The 21,570-nt window shown below is 34.8% G+C and overlaps 1 annotated feature.

The window, feature by feature from the left end:
• Positions 20,358-20,858: an enhancer, noted in NCBI's record as "H3K4me1 hESC enhancer chr8:83799736-83800236 (GRCh37/hg19 assembly coordinates)". NCBI's record gives its function as "activates a minimal SCP1, AML or CMV promoter by ChIP-STARR-seq in primed H9 embryonic stem cells {active_cell/tissue: H9 hESC(primed)}" and the evidence as "EXISTENCE:reporter gene assay evidence [ECO:0000049][PMID:30033119]".

The raw sequence follows: 21,570 nt of genomic DNA on the forward strand, positions 1-21,570 counted from the left end.
TAGTGAAAGAAGAAGATTTAGTGAGACAAGACACTTTTTCCCCTCTGGACTTTTTGGTACATAAAAGTCTTGTCAGTTTGACATTTGCTACTTTTGCTTTATGATTTTGTCCTATTTTCTTTTTTTCCAATGCCATCTTTATCAAGCTACTGAAATACATTTTGCTAAATATTCCAGATGGAGCACTGTCAGACTTTTTTCCTGGATAGAAACCAGGAAAATTGCCAAGCATCTATTCTCTTTATAGCTCCACATTTTGAACATATTGTATAATTCTAGTATTGCCCATAACTGTCTTATTATTACTAATTGTTTATGAGTTTTCCTCTGAAATTCCAAATACCATAATTGAGTTATATTACATGCATGGTAGAACAGTAGATACTAAAAAAAACTGAATGATGAATGTTTGATCACACTTATATCAGAAGAGGATACTTTATTTCAGCATAGAAAATATATACAACATATACACTATCTGTGTATTTAACGTACAAAAAGAAAAAACTCAAGCCCAAGTATTTTGCATTTAGCATACAATTAATTAAAAACACAATATAGAGTTTCAATAATATTAAGAGAATAAAAGAATGCATACATGCTGTTTAATAGGCCTATTTTAGAGGTGAGAGATATAGAGTAATTCCACCATCTCTGTTTGGATTGGTTATAAAAATATTAGAGACTTCCATTTTAAGTAAAAGCAAACCAGATATTTGCACAGATTATCCCACTCAAGACATCTAGAACAAATTCAAGTATCAGTTTTGTAAACTATCACCCAGCCAAGATCTGGAATATGGAAATATAAAGGTGAGCCAAGAAAGAAAGCTTAACAGACAAACAGATGAACAATACTTTGGACAGCTTTCCAGGAAGAGAAGTATAAAAATTAAAGTACAGGGTTTGAAAAGATGAGGAGGGGAAAGGGTTGCCTAGTAAAGCATGCACATTTTAGTTTGAAAACATGAAACACTACAATTAGAAATAAAAGTGAACTAGGAATGACTGTCACTTGTCTACTTAGCAGGAAAATAACGAGATATAACAATTATACTGTGGTATCTTGGATTAGATCCTGGAAGAGAAAAATGATAATACCAAAAGAACTGGAGAAACTGTAATCTGTAATTTAGTTAATTATATTGTACTAATGTTAAATTCTTAATTTGATCATTGTACCATGGCTGTATATGCCATTATGTTGGGAACCTGGGTATATGGAATTTCTCAAACATTGCAATCACTGAACAAAATACAGTTTGTGTAACTATGTTCATATTAAACACAGTAAATCTACACCGAAAAGCAATACTATAACTAAAGAGGGATAGTTCATAATAAAAAGTTTCAAGTTTCCAGGAGATTACAACAATTTTCAACTTGAATGCACATACTAATATTGTCTGACAATATATTACAAAGGAAAAGAAAGAGATCTATAAGGAAAATTAGAACAACAAATTATATTTACCAAATGTAGAAAAAAAAGACATATGATAAGAAGATCAGAGAGTAATGAAATGAAATTGTAATGCAAAGAATCAACAAATAAGTTAGTTCTTTGAAATGTATAACACAATTCATAAATACTCAAGGAAACATAGCAAGACAATAAGAGACTAAGCACAAATAACCAATACCAGAAATTAAAAAGAGGGGCTATCAACACAGAATAAAAACACAGTTAAAAAAAGAGGGCATTATTAATATATCCATATTAGTATATATGAAAATATAGAGAAAATGGAAAAGTTCCTAAAAATAAAAATAACTTACCAGAACTGACACAAAGTGAAAAAGAAAAGTGAATCATTTTTAAGTATTAAACTTAAGCCATAAGAAAATCTGTAATTAAACCAATATACAAATGATTTCACAGAATGTTATTTAGTGAAAATATAACATTATTCTTACAAGAATATTTTACAGAGAAGGGGAAAAGGAGAATTCATGTCATGACTTATTTTACAAAGTTTTCATAAGCTTGATACCAAAGTACAAAAAGGACATTATAAGAAAGGGGAATTATAATTTTTGTCACAGATATATAATCAAAGATTATAAACAGCATATCAGTAAAATGACTCCAGCATTGTAAAGGAATAAAATTTCCTCCTCTCAATGATAAAAAGTCGGTGGCAGAAAATTTACCAGAAAAATCCTAAATCTCCTAAAGAGTAGAAACAAATATTCCTAGAACAAAGTATTATACTTCAAGGTAAAAAATTAAAAGCTTTCCTTTGAATTAGAGAATAAGGAAAATGTGCCTTCTCCTGGGGTTCTGTTTCAGGTCTTCATTGCTATATTACAGTACAGCAGCTTGAATGTTTTAAAGATTGCTGAAACAACATCTAACATTCAATGTGGTCTTGTACAATTTTAAAATTCACTCAACATGTGGATCTTGGTCCCCTCTCTTTAAACTGATGGAACCATAACCAGGAGACTGTAGTAAAAGTGATGTATTAGAAATTTCAGCAATAGATCATTAACATGTATTTTGTCATTGTTTTGTATGATCACTCTTGGCTCCCAGCCCACATGTTCAGAGTAAGTTCAAGTAACCCATTGAGAATACCATATGATGAAGAATTGAGGTCCCCAACTGCAGTCCCACCAGAGCTTGCAGCTGAAAGCCAGCAACAAGTTCTCAGGCATCTAAATGAGGTAATTTGAAAGTGGATTCTTAGGTCTGGCATCAAACTACCCCAGTTTGGTGTGCATGGACAAAAGAAAAGCCACATCCACTGAGCTCTGCTCAAATTGATTTCTTGGCCAAAACATATCGTTGTTTTAATCTGTTAACTTTTGTGTAGCAATAAGTGATTAGTATGACAAAAATGGAGAGCCATAAGTATTGGAGAAAAATAAAACAGTTGTCAATAATCATAGATTAACTGAATCTATGCATAGCAAATCCAAAATAATCTCTGCAGTTAATATAAATGATAATACAGTGTAGTAAGACTACTGGATAAGGGGTTAATATAAAAAATCTGTATTCTCTCCATACATTAGCTACAAGGTGTGAAAAATGAAGGGGTACCATTTAAATTATCATAACGTATAAAATAATTACATATAAATAAGTAGAGTCATGTGCTGCATACATTTCAGTCAACAATTAATGAATATAAGGTGGTCCTACAAGATGATAATGGAGCTAAAAAGTTTCTATTGCCTAGTGACATCATAGCCATGGTAATGGCATAGCACAACACATTACTCACATGTTTGTGGCAATGCTGATGTAAACAAACCTACTGTGCTGCCAGTCATATAAAAGTATAGCATACACAATTCTGTACAGTACATAATACATTATAATGATAATAAATAAGTTACTGGTATATGCATTTACCATACTATACTATTCCTTGGTACTTTATAGTGTATTCCTTCTACTTATAAAAACAAAGATAACTGTGAAACAGCCTATGTTGGTCCTGTAGGAATACTTCCAGAAGAAGGCATTGTTATCACAAGAGATGACAACTCCGTGTATGTTAATGCCCTTGAAGACATTCAATGGGACAATGCATGGAGAGGAAAGACAGTGATACTGATGATTCTTGCCCTTGTAGGCTTAGACTAATGTGTGTTTTAGTATCTTAGTTTCTAACAAAAAATTGAAAAGTTAAATTTAAAAAAAAATTTTAAAACAGAAATAAGTTTATAGAATAAGGATACAAAGATGAAAAATATTTTTATACAGCTGTGCAATGTGTTTGTGTCTTAAGGTAAATGTTATTATGAGAGTCAAAATTTAAAAACAAAGTTTATAAAGTAAAAAAAAGTTAAAGTAAACTAGGGTTAATTTATTAAAGTAAGAAAAATATTTTTATAAAACGTTCGTAGTAGTATATTTGTAGTAGTAAAATATATGTAGTATAGCCTGACTACAGTGTTTACAAAGCCTACTGCAGTGTACAGTAATGCCATAGGCCTTCAAATTCACTCACCACTCACTCTCTGACTCACTAAGAGCAACTTCCAGTACTGCAATCTCTATTTTTATAGTATGTGCCCTATGCAAATATACCATTTTTTATCTTTTATACCTTTTGTTCCTATTTCTTTCCTATGTTTAGATATCTTGGGACCCAAATACATATTATTGTTTTACAATTACCTACAGTATTCAGCACAGTAATATGCTGTTCAGATTTACAGCCTAAGAGCAATGGGTTATAATACACAGCCTAGGTGTGTAGTATGCTAGACAATTTTGGTTTGTGTAAGTACACTCTATGATGTTCACACAATTATGAAATCACCTAATGACAGAATGTATCCCCATCATTGACACATGGCTATATATGTAGAATATTATGTCAAAATTGTGAAATTTATTATTAAATTATAAATATTATGTCTAAATTTAGATATATATGTAAGTAATTTTTTCTTTTCGCTCAAGGTGACTTCTGTTAGTCAGACTCTATTATAAAGTAGGAATAATATTTTTGAAGAGGAATAATATTTCCGCTCAGAAAATCATACAATATTTTGAGAGACATTAAAGAAGAAATTTTCAAAAGGAGAAACATACAAAATTTATAGATGGTTGGGCTCAGGGTTTTAAGATATTAGTTTCCTGCATACTGGTTTAGAATTTTGTAAAATACCAACCATAACCCAACAAGCTGTGTGTTTGTGTAGGTACGTTTACCAGCTTATGGCAAACTTTAAATGGAAATTCAATGGACTAATACATTTTACTTGAAGAAGTGAAGGCAGGAGGAATCATTATGTATAACTCATTTGCTTTCTCCCTTTCTAGGGCAGTTGGTCGCTTTATTCCTATCCACCACTGCAGTGAACAACACAGCTCTTTTTTTTCCCCAGACATCATCTCAGATTTAAATCCTACAATGCCTCACCTCACAACATGTCATGCTTGTCATCTTTTACACAAAGATTAATTTTTTTCCTGAGGCTTGTGAAACTGTGGGGTCTGCTTTGTGCTGATGCAAATGCAACCTACAGCAAGAAACAATTTTCTCCCTATGGAGCAATACTTTGACCAACAGTTAATAAATACTGGCAGATAATTTCTCCTCCTCTTGTCATACACATACTAATCTGAGATACAGTAGTTTATAGGCGTCTTTGAAGATGTGGCCTGTCTGATCAGGCAGTCAGTTGTCCTTGATATCAAATGGTGGCCAGACAAATAATAACCCTCAATATTCTGTTTTCCCTCTCAGTCTGCATCCTTTTTATCTTTTCTTTGGTGTTACACTCCTTAATAAAGTACAGCACATAATTTTTTGGAAGATTAGAACAGAGGAACAGAAGACAAATCAAGACATATATAGGCACTTGATTTCAAAGAAGGGTGGCCTGAGACCATTAGTAAAAATACTGTTTTTTTCAACAAACGGTGCTGAGATGATTGGATATCCAGTTGGAAAAAATAAAATATAGACTATAGATAATTCTTGATACATTTTACATTTAAATTTAAAGGCAAGATACTAAAATATCTAGAAAATAATAAATATTTCTTAAAACAATGGAATAATTATAAACAAAGAAAAATGTTGAGCTTCTTTATGATAGAGTCTAACAGAAGTCACCTTGAGCAAAAAGAAAAAAAATTATTTACATATATATCTTAAAAAGTAGCACATATTCAAAATATAAAAGGGATTCCTTCACGTCTATAAGAAAAAAAGGCAAATACTCCAATAAGAAAATAAACAAAAGACTTTAAGGGGCACTATATAAATGCATTTTCCACATGGCCAGTAAACATACAAACATATGAAAATATATGAAAAGTTACTCAAACTTATGTTTTAATATACTCACCTGTAAATAACTATAATTTCTTAGGAATTAGAATGTTGGAACCGATACATTAAAAAAAAATGTGAACAAATTTCAAGAAACCCATTTAGTAGTCTAACATTCAACTTACAAGAGTTCTGGAAGAGAGAACAGTAAAAATATGGGGTAATAAATTATCAAAAATATATGAGGTTTACTAAATTTAAATATTATGAGCCTCCGGAATGAGAGGGTTCATGGTTTCCAAAGAACAGTTTTTAAAATAAAAAAACCTAAAATTAAAAGTGACATAAAAAATTACATACCATAACATTTGAAAATATGCAAGTAAAGGAAAATGGCCTAAAAGCTTCCAGAGATGATTAAAAACAATAAAAATCAATGAATAAAAAATCATATAATTAGGAAGAAGAACCAGCCTCACACAGATTTCTCAATAGCTAAACTAATTAATAGGAAAATTACATATAAGGTTTAGAGAATATTCATTTCAACCAGCATTCTATATTCATTAAAAATATCAATCAATATTTAGGACAGAAAATTACATCTTCAGAGTTAAACAATAATGCTCTTTATTTGCTTTTTCTAAGAAAATTTCTCTATAATATTCTTCAGGTAAACAAAGCAAAAAGAATACACATAATCCAGGGACTACCATTACAACACGGGGGAAAAGGAATTCAGTGTTTTTCTTTAAGGGGGCTACAAGCATTTGTGGGGGTTGGGGGGGCAATTCATAATTCTTCATAAAGTAAGAGTGTTTTACAAATTGCCTTCTCCATTTCCATCTAGGAAATGCCAGTGGCGGCATCCTCCTTCCATCTATGCTAGAATCATAAAAGGTTTCTCATAGGCCAGGTACAATGATATCAGGAAAACAATACAAAAACCAACCAACAAACAAAATATTAATTCCTGGCAAAAACGAGGCGCACAAAAGTGGTGATTTACTAATAATGCATATTTTGACAACACTGATTCATATTTTCATAGATATAACAATAATTAACATTGATAAGTAAGTGTGGATACCATTTGGTGGGACAGAAATGGGAAGATAGAAATGAATACAAAGCTAATTTCATGTCAGACATGGCAGGAAGTCAAAAGATAGTACATTAAATTGACAAATGTTTTAAAACATGGAGATGAATACCAGGTGAAAGACCTAGAAGAATTGAGGAAATCTCCCTTTGAACATTATTTATCTACACAAAACTTCAAACAGTCCAAATAAGGCAGAGTGGACCTGCTTCCCCTCAAGTCAGATTCATACTTTCATCAAAGAAAATTGTATTTGTCTCTTCCCATTAAACACATACTCTCCTAATGTGTAAGACAAATTAAGAATAGAATTTGTTGGTTGGCCTGCTCTTCTACATACAAATGAAAAAAAATGCTGTATTTCTTAACAAATAGTCATGTGCCGGTGCTTTAATAGAGATTGCTAACATTTTTTACTTCACTGAACTTTGTTTAGGTTAAGCCTTTGCCTAGATTACAAGTAATAAGGCCATTTCTTCCACGAGCTCAACTTCAGGTTTATTAGTCAAATGGTATAAGGGCAGCTGTTATTCAGGAAAATCAAATAGTCAATGATGTAGTGGAAAGATTGGAGGAAGGAGAAGAGGACTGGTTTTGTGAATACCAGAGATAGGGCTATGCTAACAGTTTTCAAGGTACAGCCCACCCTACTCTTTCACTGATAACTTCCAATCACCATTTTCCCCTTTCATTTTGCTCAATGGCATTTATCACTCTCCAAGAAAGGTATGAATTTTATTTATTAATTTGTGTTATCTGCCTCACCCTTTTAGAATTTAAGTTCCGTGAGGGGGGTGAGAATTGACAGTTTTATAGACTATAGAATTTTCAGTATCTAGAACAGCTTCAGGCTTATGGTAGATGTTCAATAAATATTGGTTGAATAAATAAATGAATAATAAGCAAAATAAATAATAAATGAGATTAAATATTTAAATATTTGATAAATGTGAGGTATTTTAGAAAGTAGAAATAAAACACCAAAAAATGTAATCAGAGAAAGGGTTTAAGAGAGAGAATTTAAATGTAGTTTTACATTTTCAAACCTGTATTATTAGGAAGGAATATGGAATATCATTAAGAATATTATGAAATAACACGGTGAAACCCCGTCTCTACTAAAAATACAAAAAATTAGCCAAGCATGGTGGCGGGCGCCTGTAGTCCCAGCTCCTCAGAAGGCTGAGGCAGGAGAATGGCGTGAACCCGGGAGGTGGAGCTTGCAGTGAGCCGAGATCGCGCCACTGCACTCCAGCCTGGGCGACAGGGCGAGACTCCGTCTCAACAAAAAAAAAAAAAAAAAAAGCGAATATTATGCAAGAGTGTGTTTTGAGCAAATAAGGAGTTAGGAAGGTTACAATTAGAAGTGATTCCAGGGGAGATACCTATCCAGTACCAAAGAGTCTAAAATTGGGCTTAAAAAGAAAGATTTACACACAGAGAAAAAAAAAAAAAAATTCATGGGGTTCCTTTACTGCTATACTGGAGTACAATTCATAGAGGTATATGAATTCATAAATGAACACCAATTGTGCAGGAAATTAAAAAGGAACTGAAAACAACAATGGAGATCAATTTAGGAAACAGAAGTAAGAAGGACTAATCAAATATCATTTTACCAAGTATCTCATTAAAAATCAGAGCCACGTTAGACTGACATGGAGAAATTTATATCACCTTTCTTTCCCGAGTATCATAAAATGTATGAAGAACCAAGATATCCCAAAGCACCACTAAATTGTTTTTTAGTACTTTATTTTATTTCAATGGTAATTTTAAATTATAACTCTCACTGACACAGTATTATAAATGCTAAGATTATAAAACTATACCTTTCCAAAACTGTGATTTATACCCATATATTCAACCAACATATATAGTACATTTATTATGTACTGAGTATTCAAGAAAGCCATCTCTCTATTCACGCATATCATTATCTAGTTAGGTAAAAAACTAAATAAATCATTCATTAACAGGACGGTGAATACTGGAGCCAAGCCTGAAATGCATAACCCTCAGAGGAGGGGTTCAAACACCAGTCTGAAGTCTCAAGTGGTACTATCTGTAGCTACTGACATGATGGTTACAAATGAGTAATTAAAAGTTATCCAGATGTAGGATGGAGTGTAAATTCGTGTTAGGGGAAGGAGGTAGCATATACAAAGGACAATAAAATAAAAAAAAAAGTCGGGGACATTTTTATATTGCCTATTTAGGACATGTTGAAAATATTAATTGACCTCAACACAAATTCTACCTGTAACAAATGTTCAAATAATAGCAAACTGTAGATTATTTGTACCAATTTTTTTCTTTGTATATACAATGTAAAGTGTATTTATCTATGTACTTTATAACTCAAGAAAGATACCAGCACTTTTGACCTTACTATAGTGTAGATCAATTGAAAGAGTATAAAATAAAAGTGGGATGATATATTGCTAACCATAAAGCCCCTGGACATGTGGAAACAAACCTTTGTTACCACTAATAGCCTGGAGAGAATTAAATTGAAATCCCATCATAAATCTCTATAAAACGTGATTTCATTGCTGACCCTACAACCCCCAAATTCTCAACATTTTGATTGTGATAGATCACCTCTGTGATTGTCGGCTTTGAATTCCATTCTTTAGGAGATGTCAAATTACTATTTTGTGATATTTTGAAAAGACCCTTTTGTCTTAATGCAGTTGCCATAGTATTATTTTTTATGATTTTATTTTGTCAATTTAGTTAAGTTTAAGGGCAACGTGGTGCAGTGAAACAAGCACAAATTTTGATGTCAGATAAACCTGAGTTCAAATCCTTGATCTTCACATATATTACTTTATTATTATTAATAATATTTTTGACCAGGACAACAATTGAATTAATCATTCTCACTTCACGAAATAATACAATCAGCAGTTCATGCAAAACTCCCCTTTTATTTAACTTTTAATTATATCCTTTTAATTTGTCCATATTTTCCACTTTTACTCCACTCTACCTCCCACAGACAACAACTCCAGGTGGCTTGAAATGGACGCTTGAGTTTTTATGTAGTTTCTAGAAGTATGTATTTTTAATATGTATTTATTATAAATTCATACAAATTGATAAAAATTTATAGAAATGGCACTGTCCTACAGATTTCATTTTGTCTCCTAATATTTTCATTCACCACTATTTTTTGGACCTATACAGATCACTGTGAATACCCCATTTGCTGTTTTTAATGCTTTTCTATGGGGTACGTCTACCTCATTATACTTACTCATTAGAAATCTAGATTGCCCCTAAGAAGATGATACTATATTTTTCAATACTGATGTAATGAACATTTTCACAGGTATGTCATGGTCCATTATGAAAATTCCTATATGAGAGTACCTGGGGTATAAATTCAGATGTTGTTAGGCACATGATATAAGCAAATTTAATTTTATGTACTGTCAAACTGGCTTCAAGAATGGATATATAAACTGACTTTCCTACTAAGTACATGAAGAGTCTGATTTTCTCACATTTCCATAAATAGTTGGCACTACTACAGCAAATATTGACATGTGTTACAAAATTTGGTATTGTAATTATGTCAATATATACTCTTTGTAGTAAAGTAGGTAATATTTGACTACTATAAACACCTGGTCAGAATGATCCAAAATCTATCATTATTTTCTCCAAATCTCCTAAGCTATAGCTTTTAAAGTTAAATACTATAAGTCATTATCACAGCAAACAATTTAATATACTTTCTACTAAAGAATTATTTCCAACCTCCCAATATGGAATAGAGTGTATCCTTAGGTTACACAAGTCTACAATGAAACATTAATCTCCTATTCTGTATTATTTAGGAATTCTTCTTTTGTAAGTAGAAGAATGCCAGACTCATACTGGCTTTAAAAATATGCAAAAGCATTCCTTCACTTAACTGAAAAGTCCAGATATAGGTTAAGGTTAAATAAGCTTCTAATGATTCCTACTGTCCTCAAATGCCCACTTACTTCATGTCTTTTCTACCTTGAGTGGAGTGTATTTTTCCTATTCTTGATTTTTCTCAAAGTCGTAAAATGGCTTCCATATATTTTCAGAATCTCTAAGCCTCCTATTATTATTTAAATAATTTAGAGATAAATAAAGATTATCCTTTTGCCCCTCTATCATTCTACTCCCAGAACTATCCTCATAAAGACGTTTCTTAATATAAACAGATTTTATGAGAATGAAGTTTATCAAAATAGGGTTTCATAATTTCACAAACTGAATAAAACATTTATCATTCTGTAGCACGTTTTTGTTTTTATACAGTAATATTTTATGATCTTTTCTCCATGCCAATGCATACAGATTTAAGTCATTAATTTTAAAACATGCATAATTGTATTTTAGCTTCAAGGGTTGGAATTGCTTATTTTAGCAGGAGAAATATGATAAAGTAAATTAGATGTTTAAAAAACAGTAGGAAGTATAGGAGGGAGGTAAATAATGAGAACCTCTTCCAGCTTCCAAAAAACCAGTAAGGCTCCAAATCACAGGATGCACCTATCAATTAGCTCAGCTGAAGATTATTTATAAGAGCTCACCTGGAAGCTCCTTCATGCTTCACATCTGCCTAGGTGCCAGTATCTTTTCCAGCAGATAATATGCTTTCCCCTTCTCTTTTGCCTTTAAATATTACACAAGTGCTGCTTATTGTGGAATCTAAAAGGGAACTCTGTTTGTAAATGTATAGGGTAAATGTAATTCATTCCTACGTTTATAACCAAAAGTTGACATGGTTAGGAATGGAGACGAGTATTACTAGACAGTAACCAGGGCAATACTGTTTCAGGCAATAGCATGATAATTTGTCCACTCATGCCTTTATTGATGGAAGTTCAAATTATCTGTTTTTTTTCTTTATAACAATACTCAAAATAATCATTAATGTACTTGTTATTAATTTAATTGGCTTAAGTAATATTACTTTTCTGTTCTAATATGTATTTCATACCACACCGAAATTTAAAATGATGAATTTAAGTAGACCCCACTGTAAAATTAGTTTCTGTATTTTTAACCACCTTCTTCTGTAGACTGAAATAAGTTAGCATTTATTAAAATTATATACTGAAATGCCATGTTTATTTGACACAAAAGCTATACTTTTCCCTCAAAAAAATACATTTTTAGATGTACATATAAATAATTCAAAGAAGAGTATATATTCATTTAATTTCTTTATTAGCTAATACTGGACTAATTAATACCTTACTACATTAAATTTACTTTGGCTGGTCACTTTTTGCGCCATTCATTTTTTGTAACTATTGCAGAATATATCTGTTACTTTGGTCACTGCAAGTTATCACATTTGTTCTCTAATAAGTTTTTTAGAAAGCCATCCCATAAAAAAAAATAAGTAACTATATGCTACATATGAAATGGCATTCTGATTGCAACAAGGAGGACTTCAATGCCAATATTCAGAAACATTAAATGTTTTAAGCCTTGGGTTTCAGATGACTGATCAGGCTATTGAGTACCCGGGTTGCTGTTATTTATTTATTTATTTTAATTTATTTATTTTAAGAGACTGGGCCTTGCTCTGTCACCCAGGCTGGAGTGCAGTGGCATGATTTCGGCTCACTGCAGCCTTGACCTCCTGGGTTCAAGTGATCCTCCCGCCTCAGCCCCCTGAGTAGCTGGAACCTACAGGCGTGCACCAACAAAATGCCCGGCCAATTTTTGTATTTTTTGTAGAGATGGGGTTTCACCATGTTGCCCAGGCTGGGCTCCAACTCCTGAGCTCAAGCACATCCAGTCAGTTGCTGTTATTTATATAAGTGAGATACATCATAATATAATGCTGCTTCTCACAAAAAAATAAAAAGTGAAATGCATAATCTTTTTCAGATAAGTAACTTGTTTCTATACTGAAAAGTTCCATGAGTAAAATAGAATCTTAGAACTATGTTTTTGACATTCTATTCTTATTTTTAGATATGAGTGTTTTGATGTGTCTCTCCACTTTAAAATTAGCTAGTGAAAGAAATGAAAGTACACCTCCTGGGATATTTGCTTTTATTATGTAAAACAGTGGAAAAATGTTTATTCCCTAATGTGAAAACAACAATGACAACTTTGGCAATAAACATGAAATAGTTTTGAAAATTATATAAATAATGCAATTTATACATTTTATGTTTAGAAGTTACTCAAATCACCAGACACTAGGCTTTAGCAATACTATATTGGTGAGAGTATATGGGATACAGACTCAGGAGACTTGATTTTGCATTTTGATTCTTCCATTTACAAGTTATGAATTTACCATTTAACTTTCCTAATCTTTATTTTGTCATCTATGAAATTTGAATAATAGTTACCTATGCAAGTATGAGAATAAAATGAGATCTTGTTCATGAAAAAAATCAGGATTGACTATAACAAGCTATGTGAAGTTATTTGTTATGACCTAAACATGTTTTATAAAATTTATATTACAATTCTTAATAATACTCTAAACTCAAAACAATTTTTAGTGAGAGGTGACAGCGTGCTGGCAGCCCTCGCAGCCCTTGCTTGCTCTGGGCACCTCTTCAGCCTTGGCACCCACTCTGGCTGAGCTTGAGGAGCCCTTCAGCCCGCCACTGCACTGTGGGAGCTCCTTTCTGGGCTGGAGGAGGCCAGAGCCTGCTCCCTCAGCTTGCTGGGATGTGTGGAGGGAGAGGCGTGGGCAGGAACCCAGGCTGCGCGTGGTGCTTGCAGGCCACCGCAAGTCCCGGGTGGGCGTTGGCTCCGCGGGGCCCGCACTCTGAGTGGCCATCTGGCCCCACCAGCCCGGGCAGTGAGGGGCTTAGCACCTGGGCCAGCAGCTGTGGAGGGTGCGCCAGGTCACCCGGCAGAGCCGGCCCACCAGCGCTGTGCTCAATTTCTCGCAGGGCCTCAGCTGCCTCCCTGCGGGGCAGGGCTCCAGACCTGCAGCCCGCCGTGCCTGAGCCTCCCCCACACTGTGGGCTCCTGCGTGGCCTGAGCCTCCCTGACGAGCACCGCCATCTGCTCCGCAGCGCCCGGTCCCATCGATCACCCAAGGGCTGAGGAGTGTGGGGCATGGCACTGGTCTGGCAGGCAGCTCCACCTGCGACGGGGTGCAGGATCCACTAGGTGAAGCCAGCTGGGCCCCTAAGTCTAGTGGAGACTTGGAGAACCTTTATGTCTAGCTAAGGGATTGTAAATACACCAATCAGCACTCTGTGTCTAGATCAAGGTTTGTAAATGCACCAATCAGCACCCTGTGTGTAGATAATGTGGTGGGGACTTGGAGAATCTTTATGTCTAGCTAATGGATTGTAAATGCACCAATCAGCACTCTGTGTCTAGCTCAAGGTTTGTAAATGCACCAATCAGTGCTCTGTGGGGACTTGGAGAATTTTTGTGTCTGGCTCAGGGATTGTAAACACACCAATCAGCACCCTGTCAGAACAGACCAATCAGTTCTCTGTAAAACAGACCAATCAGCTCTCTGTAAAATGGACCAATCAGCAGGATGTGGGTGGGGCCAGATAAGGGAATAAAAGCAGGCTGCCCCAGGAAGCAGTGACAACCTGCTCGGGTCCCCTTCCACACTGTGGAAGCTTTGTTCTTTCGCTCTTTGGAATAAATCTTGCAGCTGCTCACTCTTTGGGTCCGCACTGCCTTTATGAGCTGTAACACTCACGGCAAAGGTCTACAACTTCACTCCTGAGCCAGCGAGACCACGAACCCACCAGAAGGAAGAAACTCAGAACACATATGAACATCAGAAGGAACAAACACCGGACACGCCGCCTTTAAGAACTGTAACACTCACCGCGAGGGTCCACGGCTTCATTCTTGAAGTCAGTGAGACCAAGAACCCACCAATTCCGGACACATTAGGACAAAATGCTATAAGGGAAGAAATAATTTTTAAATAAAAGAAAATGGTGGGAGTAATATTACAAAAAATGGTGGACCAGGAAGTTTCAGGGTTTAGTTCCTCAACCATAACAATAATTAAACTGAAAAAAAAAATGAGAAGAGCCAAGGGTAGTACCTGAGGGAGGAATAGGCTGCTGAACTTTGGTAAGAGACCAACTTGTAGGACCAGCTCCCATCCCCATTCCTTGTCCCTGTTGTGGTTGTGGGGATAGACCACATTCCCAGAGCACCTGATTGGTACCATGGTAGACAGTAAGAACTTGTTCTCCAATGGTTCAGGTTTGTGAGATTTGGTTGGCCTGGTGATTCTCTGAGGAGCTACAACAGATGCCTACCTTTGATTTGGCTCCCTAGGGATGCAGTGGCCTTCCCAGCAGCATCTTCTGGAAGCACACTTTTGTGTGTGTGTGTGTTTGCATCTAGAAACTTAAGAAAATCTGTGTCAGGTCATAGAGCAAAGAGATGACACAGAGAAACTTCATTGACCACACAACAGAGAACACAGACTTTCCAAAAATAGTTTGGAAAAGTTAGCATACAAATGGGTACATTCAGGACTCAATAAGTGACAGAAACAATTTCTGAGGAGAATTTGATTTCCAGAGTTATACTTTAATACTCAAATGTTTCATTATCAACAAAATGTTACTATGCTTACAGAGAAATGAGAAAATATGACTCATTCGCAGGAAAAATAGTTTGAATAAAACTCTTCTAGGAAGCCCAGACATGGAAATTCCTAGCAAAATACTTTTTAAAAAACTGTCTCAAATATGTTCAATGAGCTAAAGAAACCCATGGAAAAACAATGAAAAGAAATTAGGTGAAAAATGAATAAACATAAATAAACATATAAATTTCTCTACATAAAAAGAGAAATTATCCAATAGAACCAGATAGAAATTTGAGGGCTGCAAAATACAATAGCTTAGATGTAAAACAAAATTAATACAGGGGTTCAACAGAAGATTTGGGCAGACACAGTAAAGAATCACCAAAGTTTGAAGTTAGGGCAGTTGAAATTATCTAGCCTGGGGAGGAGAAAGAAAAAAAGAAACAAATGAGGAAAATGAGTAGAACCTGAGGAACCTGAAGGACATACACAAACATACCAACAGGGGAATTGCAGGAGGAAAAAAATAGAAGCAGAAAAATATTTGAAAAAATAATGACCAAAACTGTATTAGATTTGATGAAATTCATGAATCTACGTATGAAAGATGCTCAATAAACTCCAAGACAATAATCAAAAAATTCTACATTGAGATACATTACAGTTCAATTGTTGAAAGCCAAAGGCAAAAAAATCTTGAAAGCAGCAAGACAGAAGCCACATGTCATGTGCAAGGAATCCTAACTAAGATAAATAGCTGTTTTTTCACCAGAAAGCATAGCATGAGAAGAGTGGTAAGAGGTATTTAAAATGCTAAAAGAGGCCAGGTGTGGTGTCTCATGCCTGTAATCCCAGCATTTTGGGAGGCCAAGGCGGGTGGATCACTAGGTCAGGAGATCGAGACCATGGTGAAACCCCCTCTCTACGAAAAATACAAAACATTAGCCAGGCGTGGTGGCGGGCACCTGTAGTCCCAGCTACTCGGGCGGCTGAGGCAGGAGAATGGTGTGAACCTGGGAGGCGGAGGTTGCAGTGAGCTGAGATCGCACCACTGCACTCCAGCCTGGGTGACAGAGCCAGACTCCGTCTCAAAAAAAAAAAAAAAATGCTAAAAGAAATTTTAAAATCCTGTCAACTACCAATTCTACATCCAGCAAAACTATCTTTCAAGAATAAATGAAAATTAATATGTTTTCCAATAAACAAAAGACAAGAAAGTTTGTAACTAGTAGATTTGTACAAAAAGTGCTAAAGGAAGTCCTTCAGGATGAAATGAAAAGATGCTACACAGTAACTCGAAGCCATATGAAGAAATGAAGAACATTGAGAAAGATAACCACATAGGTAAATATAAAGTCCTCTATCATTGTACTTTTGGTTTATAACTTCTCTATCTGTATATATGATTTAAAAGGCAAATACGCAAAATAATTACAAATCTATATCAACTTGTATAATATTAATATATACAGACATAATTTTTGACAAGAAAAATATAAAGGGGGAAGGTGGAGAAGTATAAAAAAAGTGTTGCATGCTACTGAAAATAAATTGGTATTATTCAGACCAGGTTGTTATCAGTTTAATATGTTAATTATAGTTTCCTAGATTACCAATGGGAAAATAATTTTTAAAATATATACAAAAGAAAGTGATGTACTATAAAAATAAATATTAAAAGACAGTAATGTAGAACTGAGAAATGAAAATATAAGACATACAGAAAATAAACAGCAAAATGTCACAAATATGTTCTTTATTATCAGTAATTACATGTAAATGAATTAAATTAGCCAATTAAAATGAAAGTGACAAAATGAATAAAAAAACATAATCTATCTATGTGCTGTCTATAAGAGACTCACTTTGCACACACAGACAACAAGACTTAAGTGTAAAAACACAGAGCTAGCTATTTTATGCAAATAGTAACTAAAACAGTTGGGGTGGCTTTAATATTGTCAGACAAAAGATATTTTACATCAAAATAGTGTACAAGAGGCAGAGGAAATTATATATTGATAAAAGATTCATCCATCAAGATGATATGACAACTATATGCACACCCAACAATAAAGCCATAAAATACATGATGCAATATTGACAAAATTGAAAAGGGAAAGATACTTCTACAACAACAATTGGAAACTTCAATATCCCACTCTCAATATAGGATAAAACAACCAGACAGAAGAGCAATAAGGAAACAGATGACCTGAACAACGTTACAAATCAATTAGACTTAAGAACATATAGGCCGGGAGCGGTGGCTCACGCCTATAATCCCAGCACTTTGGGAGGCCAAGGCAGGCGGATCACGAGGTCAGGAGATCGAGACCATCCTGGCTAACACAGTGAAACCCCGTCTCTACTAAAAATACAAAAAATTAGCCAGGCGTGGTGGCGGGCACCTGTAGTCCCAGCTACTTGGGAGGCTGAGGCAAGAGAATGGCATAAACCCGGGAGACGGAGCTTGCAGTGAGCCGAGATCACGCCACTGCACTCCAGCCTGGGCAACAGAGTGAGACTCTGTATAAAAAAAAAAAAAAAAAAAGAACATATATAGTGAACACTCCACCCAATAGCAGCATAATATATATTGTTCTTTTTTAAATTTTTAAGTTCCAGGTTACACGTGCAGGCAATGTTAGACCGGATTGAAAAATGTGGTACATATAAACCATGGACTACTATGAAGCCATAAAAAGGAAAGAGATTATGTCCTTTTCAGGGACATGGATGGAGCTGGAAGCCAATATCCTCAGCAAACTAATGCAGGAACAGAAAACCAAACACTGTATGTTCTCACTTATGAGTGGGAGCTGAACAATGAAAATACATATTGTTCTTAAGTGGGAGCTGAACAATGAGAATATATATTGTTTTTAAGTGCACATAGAAGATTTTCCAATATAGACTATATCTTAGCTCATTAAACAAGTCTTAATAAATTTAATAATATTTTCAAAATAGACTGTATCTTAGGCCATAAAACAAGTCTTAATAAATTTAAAAAGACTGACAACCATATATTCTATCTGTTCTGACCACAATGAAAAGACTAAAATTCAATAACAGAAGAATACTGGAAAATTTCCAAAGATATGGAAATCAAACAACACTTAACTCTTAACCAACTTGTCAAAGAAAAAATTAAACAGGAATTAGAAAATATCTTGAAAACAATACAAGCAAAACACAATATATAAAACTTTATGGGATGCAGTAAAAGTGGTACTAACAGTAGAATTTATATCTATAAACAGCTATATTTAAAAAGAAGAAAAATATCAGGTCAGTAACATAACTAAAATTTAAGGACCTTGAAACAGAGTAGCAGACTATATTAAAAAATGTAGCATGAAAAAAAATAAGAGAAAACCAAACATGAGAAAGAAAATAATAAAAATTAGAGTGGAGATAAATTTAAAAATTGACAGAGAAAGTTGATAAAACCAAAAATTGACTCTGAAAATATCAATAGTGACAAACTTTTTTTTTTTTTTTTTGAGATGGAGTCTTGCTTTGTCACCCAGGCTGGAGTGCACTGGCGCGATCTCGGCTCACTGCAGCCTCCGCCTCCCGGGTTCACGCCATTCTCCTGCCTCAGCCTCCTGGTAGCTGGGACTACAGGCGCCGGCCACCACGTCTGGCTAAGTATTTTTTGTATTTTTACTAGAGATGGGTTTTCACCCTGTTTGCCAGGATGGTCTCAGTGCCCTTAGCTTGTGATCAGCCCGCCTCGGCCTCTGAAAGTGATGGGATTACAGGCGTGAGCCACCACCCCCGGCCAATAGTGACAGACTTTTAGCTAGATTGACTAAGAAGAAAAAAAAAAAAAAAACTACTAAACTCAAATACGAAAAGAGGACATTTTACTTACTTCATGGAAATAAGACTGATTATGAGGCTGTACTATGAACATTGTGTGCTAAAACATAAAATTACCTAGATAAAATGCTAAAATTCTGGGAAATACACAAACTCCAAGATGGCTCAAGAAGAAATAGAAAATATGAATAGACTTCTAATAGGCAAGCATGCTGAATGAGTTAAAAACAACAAAAACAATAGCAAAAACCACCTCTCAACAAAGAAAAGCCCAGGACCACTGTCAAATTAACTGGTCGATTTATACCAATCCTTTTTAAACTCTGTTAAAAAATATGAGAAAGGAGAAACACTTCCTAACTTATTATATAAGGCCACCATTACCCTGGCCTGAATATGATACCTGAAATTGAAGCCAAAGACCTTACAATAAACAAAAAAATACAACGATATCCCTAATCACTGTAAGTACTATAATCTTCAACAAAATACTAATAAACGTAATTTAGCCATGTGTTAAAAGAACTACAAACCATGTCCAAATGGAATTTATACCAGGAAGGCAAAGATTGTTCAATACACAAAAATCAGTCTATCATCACATTAATATAAAGAAAGTAGAAATATGTAGTTATATAAATTGATGCAGAAAAATAAATTGGAAAAATTCCAAAACACTTTCATGAAAAAAGCTACTCATAAAAATATCATTAGAAATATATATTTGCAAAATAATAAAGACCATATTTTAAAAAATCCACACCTAACATCATACAATGGTAAGTGACCCAAAGTCAATTTTTAAGATAAGAAAAAATACAAGGATATCTGCTTTCTCCTCCTCTATTCAATAGTATTGAATATTCTCACCAGGGTGATTAGCAAAGAAAAATGAAGAAAAGATATCTAAAATGGAAATAAGGAAGTAGTTATCTTTATTCAGAGATAACATGATGTTATATGTAGAATGTCCTGAAAAATCCATAAAATACTGTTAAAATTAAGAAATTATGGGGAGAATTTGGAGAAATTAAAACCATCATACTTTCCTGGTGGAAATACATACTAATGAAGCCACTGTTGAAAACAATTAGACAGTTTCTAAACTAGGTAAACATAGAGTTAAAATGTGGTCCAACAATTTCACTTGTAAGTATAAAAAAAAATTGAAATCAGGGACTTAAACAGATACTTGTATGCAAATGATTATAGCAGCATTATTTACAATAGCCAAAGGTGTAAAAAAGTCAGGTGTCCATCAAGAGATGAATGAATAAACAAAATGTGATAACTACATGCAATTATTATTCAGGTGTAAGAATAAATAAAATTGGGACGTATTCTGAAACATGGATAAACCTGGGAAATATTATGCTAAGTGAAATAAACCAAACATAAAGAGAAAGATTTGTATGATCCCATTTATATAAAATATCTAGAATAGGAAAATTCAAGAAGACAAAAAGTAGATTAGAAGTTACCAGGGGCTGGCCGGGCGCAGTGGCTCACGCCTGTAATTCCAGCACTTTGGGAGGCCGAGGTGGGCGGATCACGAGGTCAGGAGATTGAGACCATCCTGGCTAACACGGTGAAACCCCATCTCTACTAAAAATGCAAAAAATTAGCTGTGCGTGGTGGTGGCCACCTGCAGTCCCAGCTACTAGGAGGCTGAGGCAGGAGAATGGCGTGAACCCAGGAGGCGGAGCTTGCAGTGAGCCGACATCAGGCCACTGCACTCCAGCCTGGGCGACAGAGCGAGACTCTGTCTCAAAAATAAAAAAAATAAAAAAAATAAAGTTACAAGGGGCTGGGATGGAGGGAAAGGAAGGTTACTGCTTAATGGGTACAGAGTTTCTATTTGGGGTAATGGAAAATTTTGGAAGTAGTTAGTGGTTATGGTTGCACAACATTGCACATGTAATTAATGCCACTATATTTGTTTTGTTTTGTTTTGTCTCTTGAGACGGAGTTTGGCTCTTGTTGCCCAGGCTGGAGTGCAATGGCACGATCTCGGCTCACCGCAACCTCCGCCTCCCGGGTTCAAGCGATTCTCCTGCCTCAGCCTCCCGAGTAGCTGGGATTACAGGCATGCACCACCACGCCCGGCTAATTTTTGTATTTTTAGTAGAGACGGGGTTTCTCCATGTTAGTCAGACTGGTCTTGAACTCCTGACCTCAGGTGATCAGCCCTCCTCAGCCTCCCAAAATGCTGGGATTACAGGCGTGAGCTACCACGCCCGGCCAATGCCACGGTATTTTAAGTTTTAATATATTAGTTTTCTGAAGTTATTTAAAAATTGAAATGGTAGTTTTTTTCTATTTGTTATATTCCAGTAATTTCAAAA

This window comes from Homo sapiens, chromosome 8 (assembly GCF_000001405.40).
Source record: "Homo sapiens chromosome 8, GRCh38.p14 Primary Assembly".
NCBI lineage: Eukaryota > Metazoa > Chordata > Mammalia > Primates > Hominidae > Homo > Homo sapiens.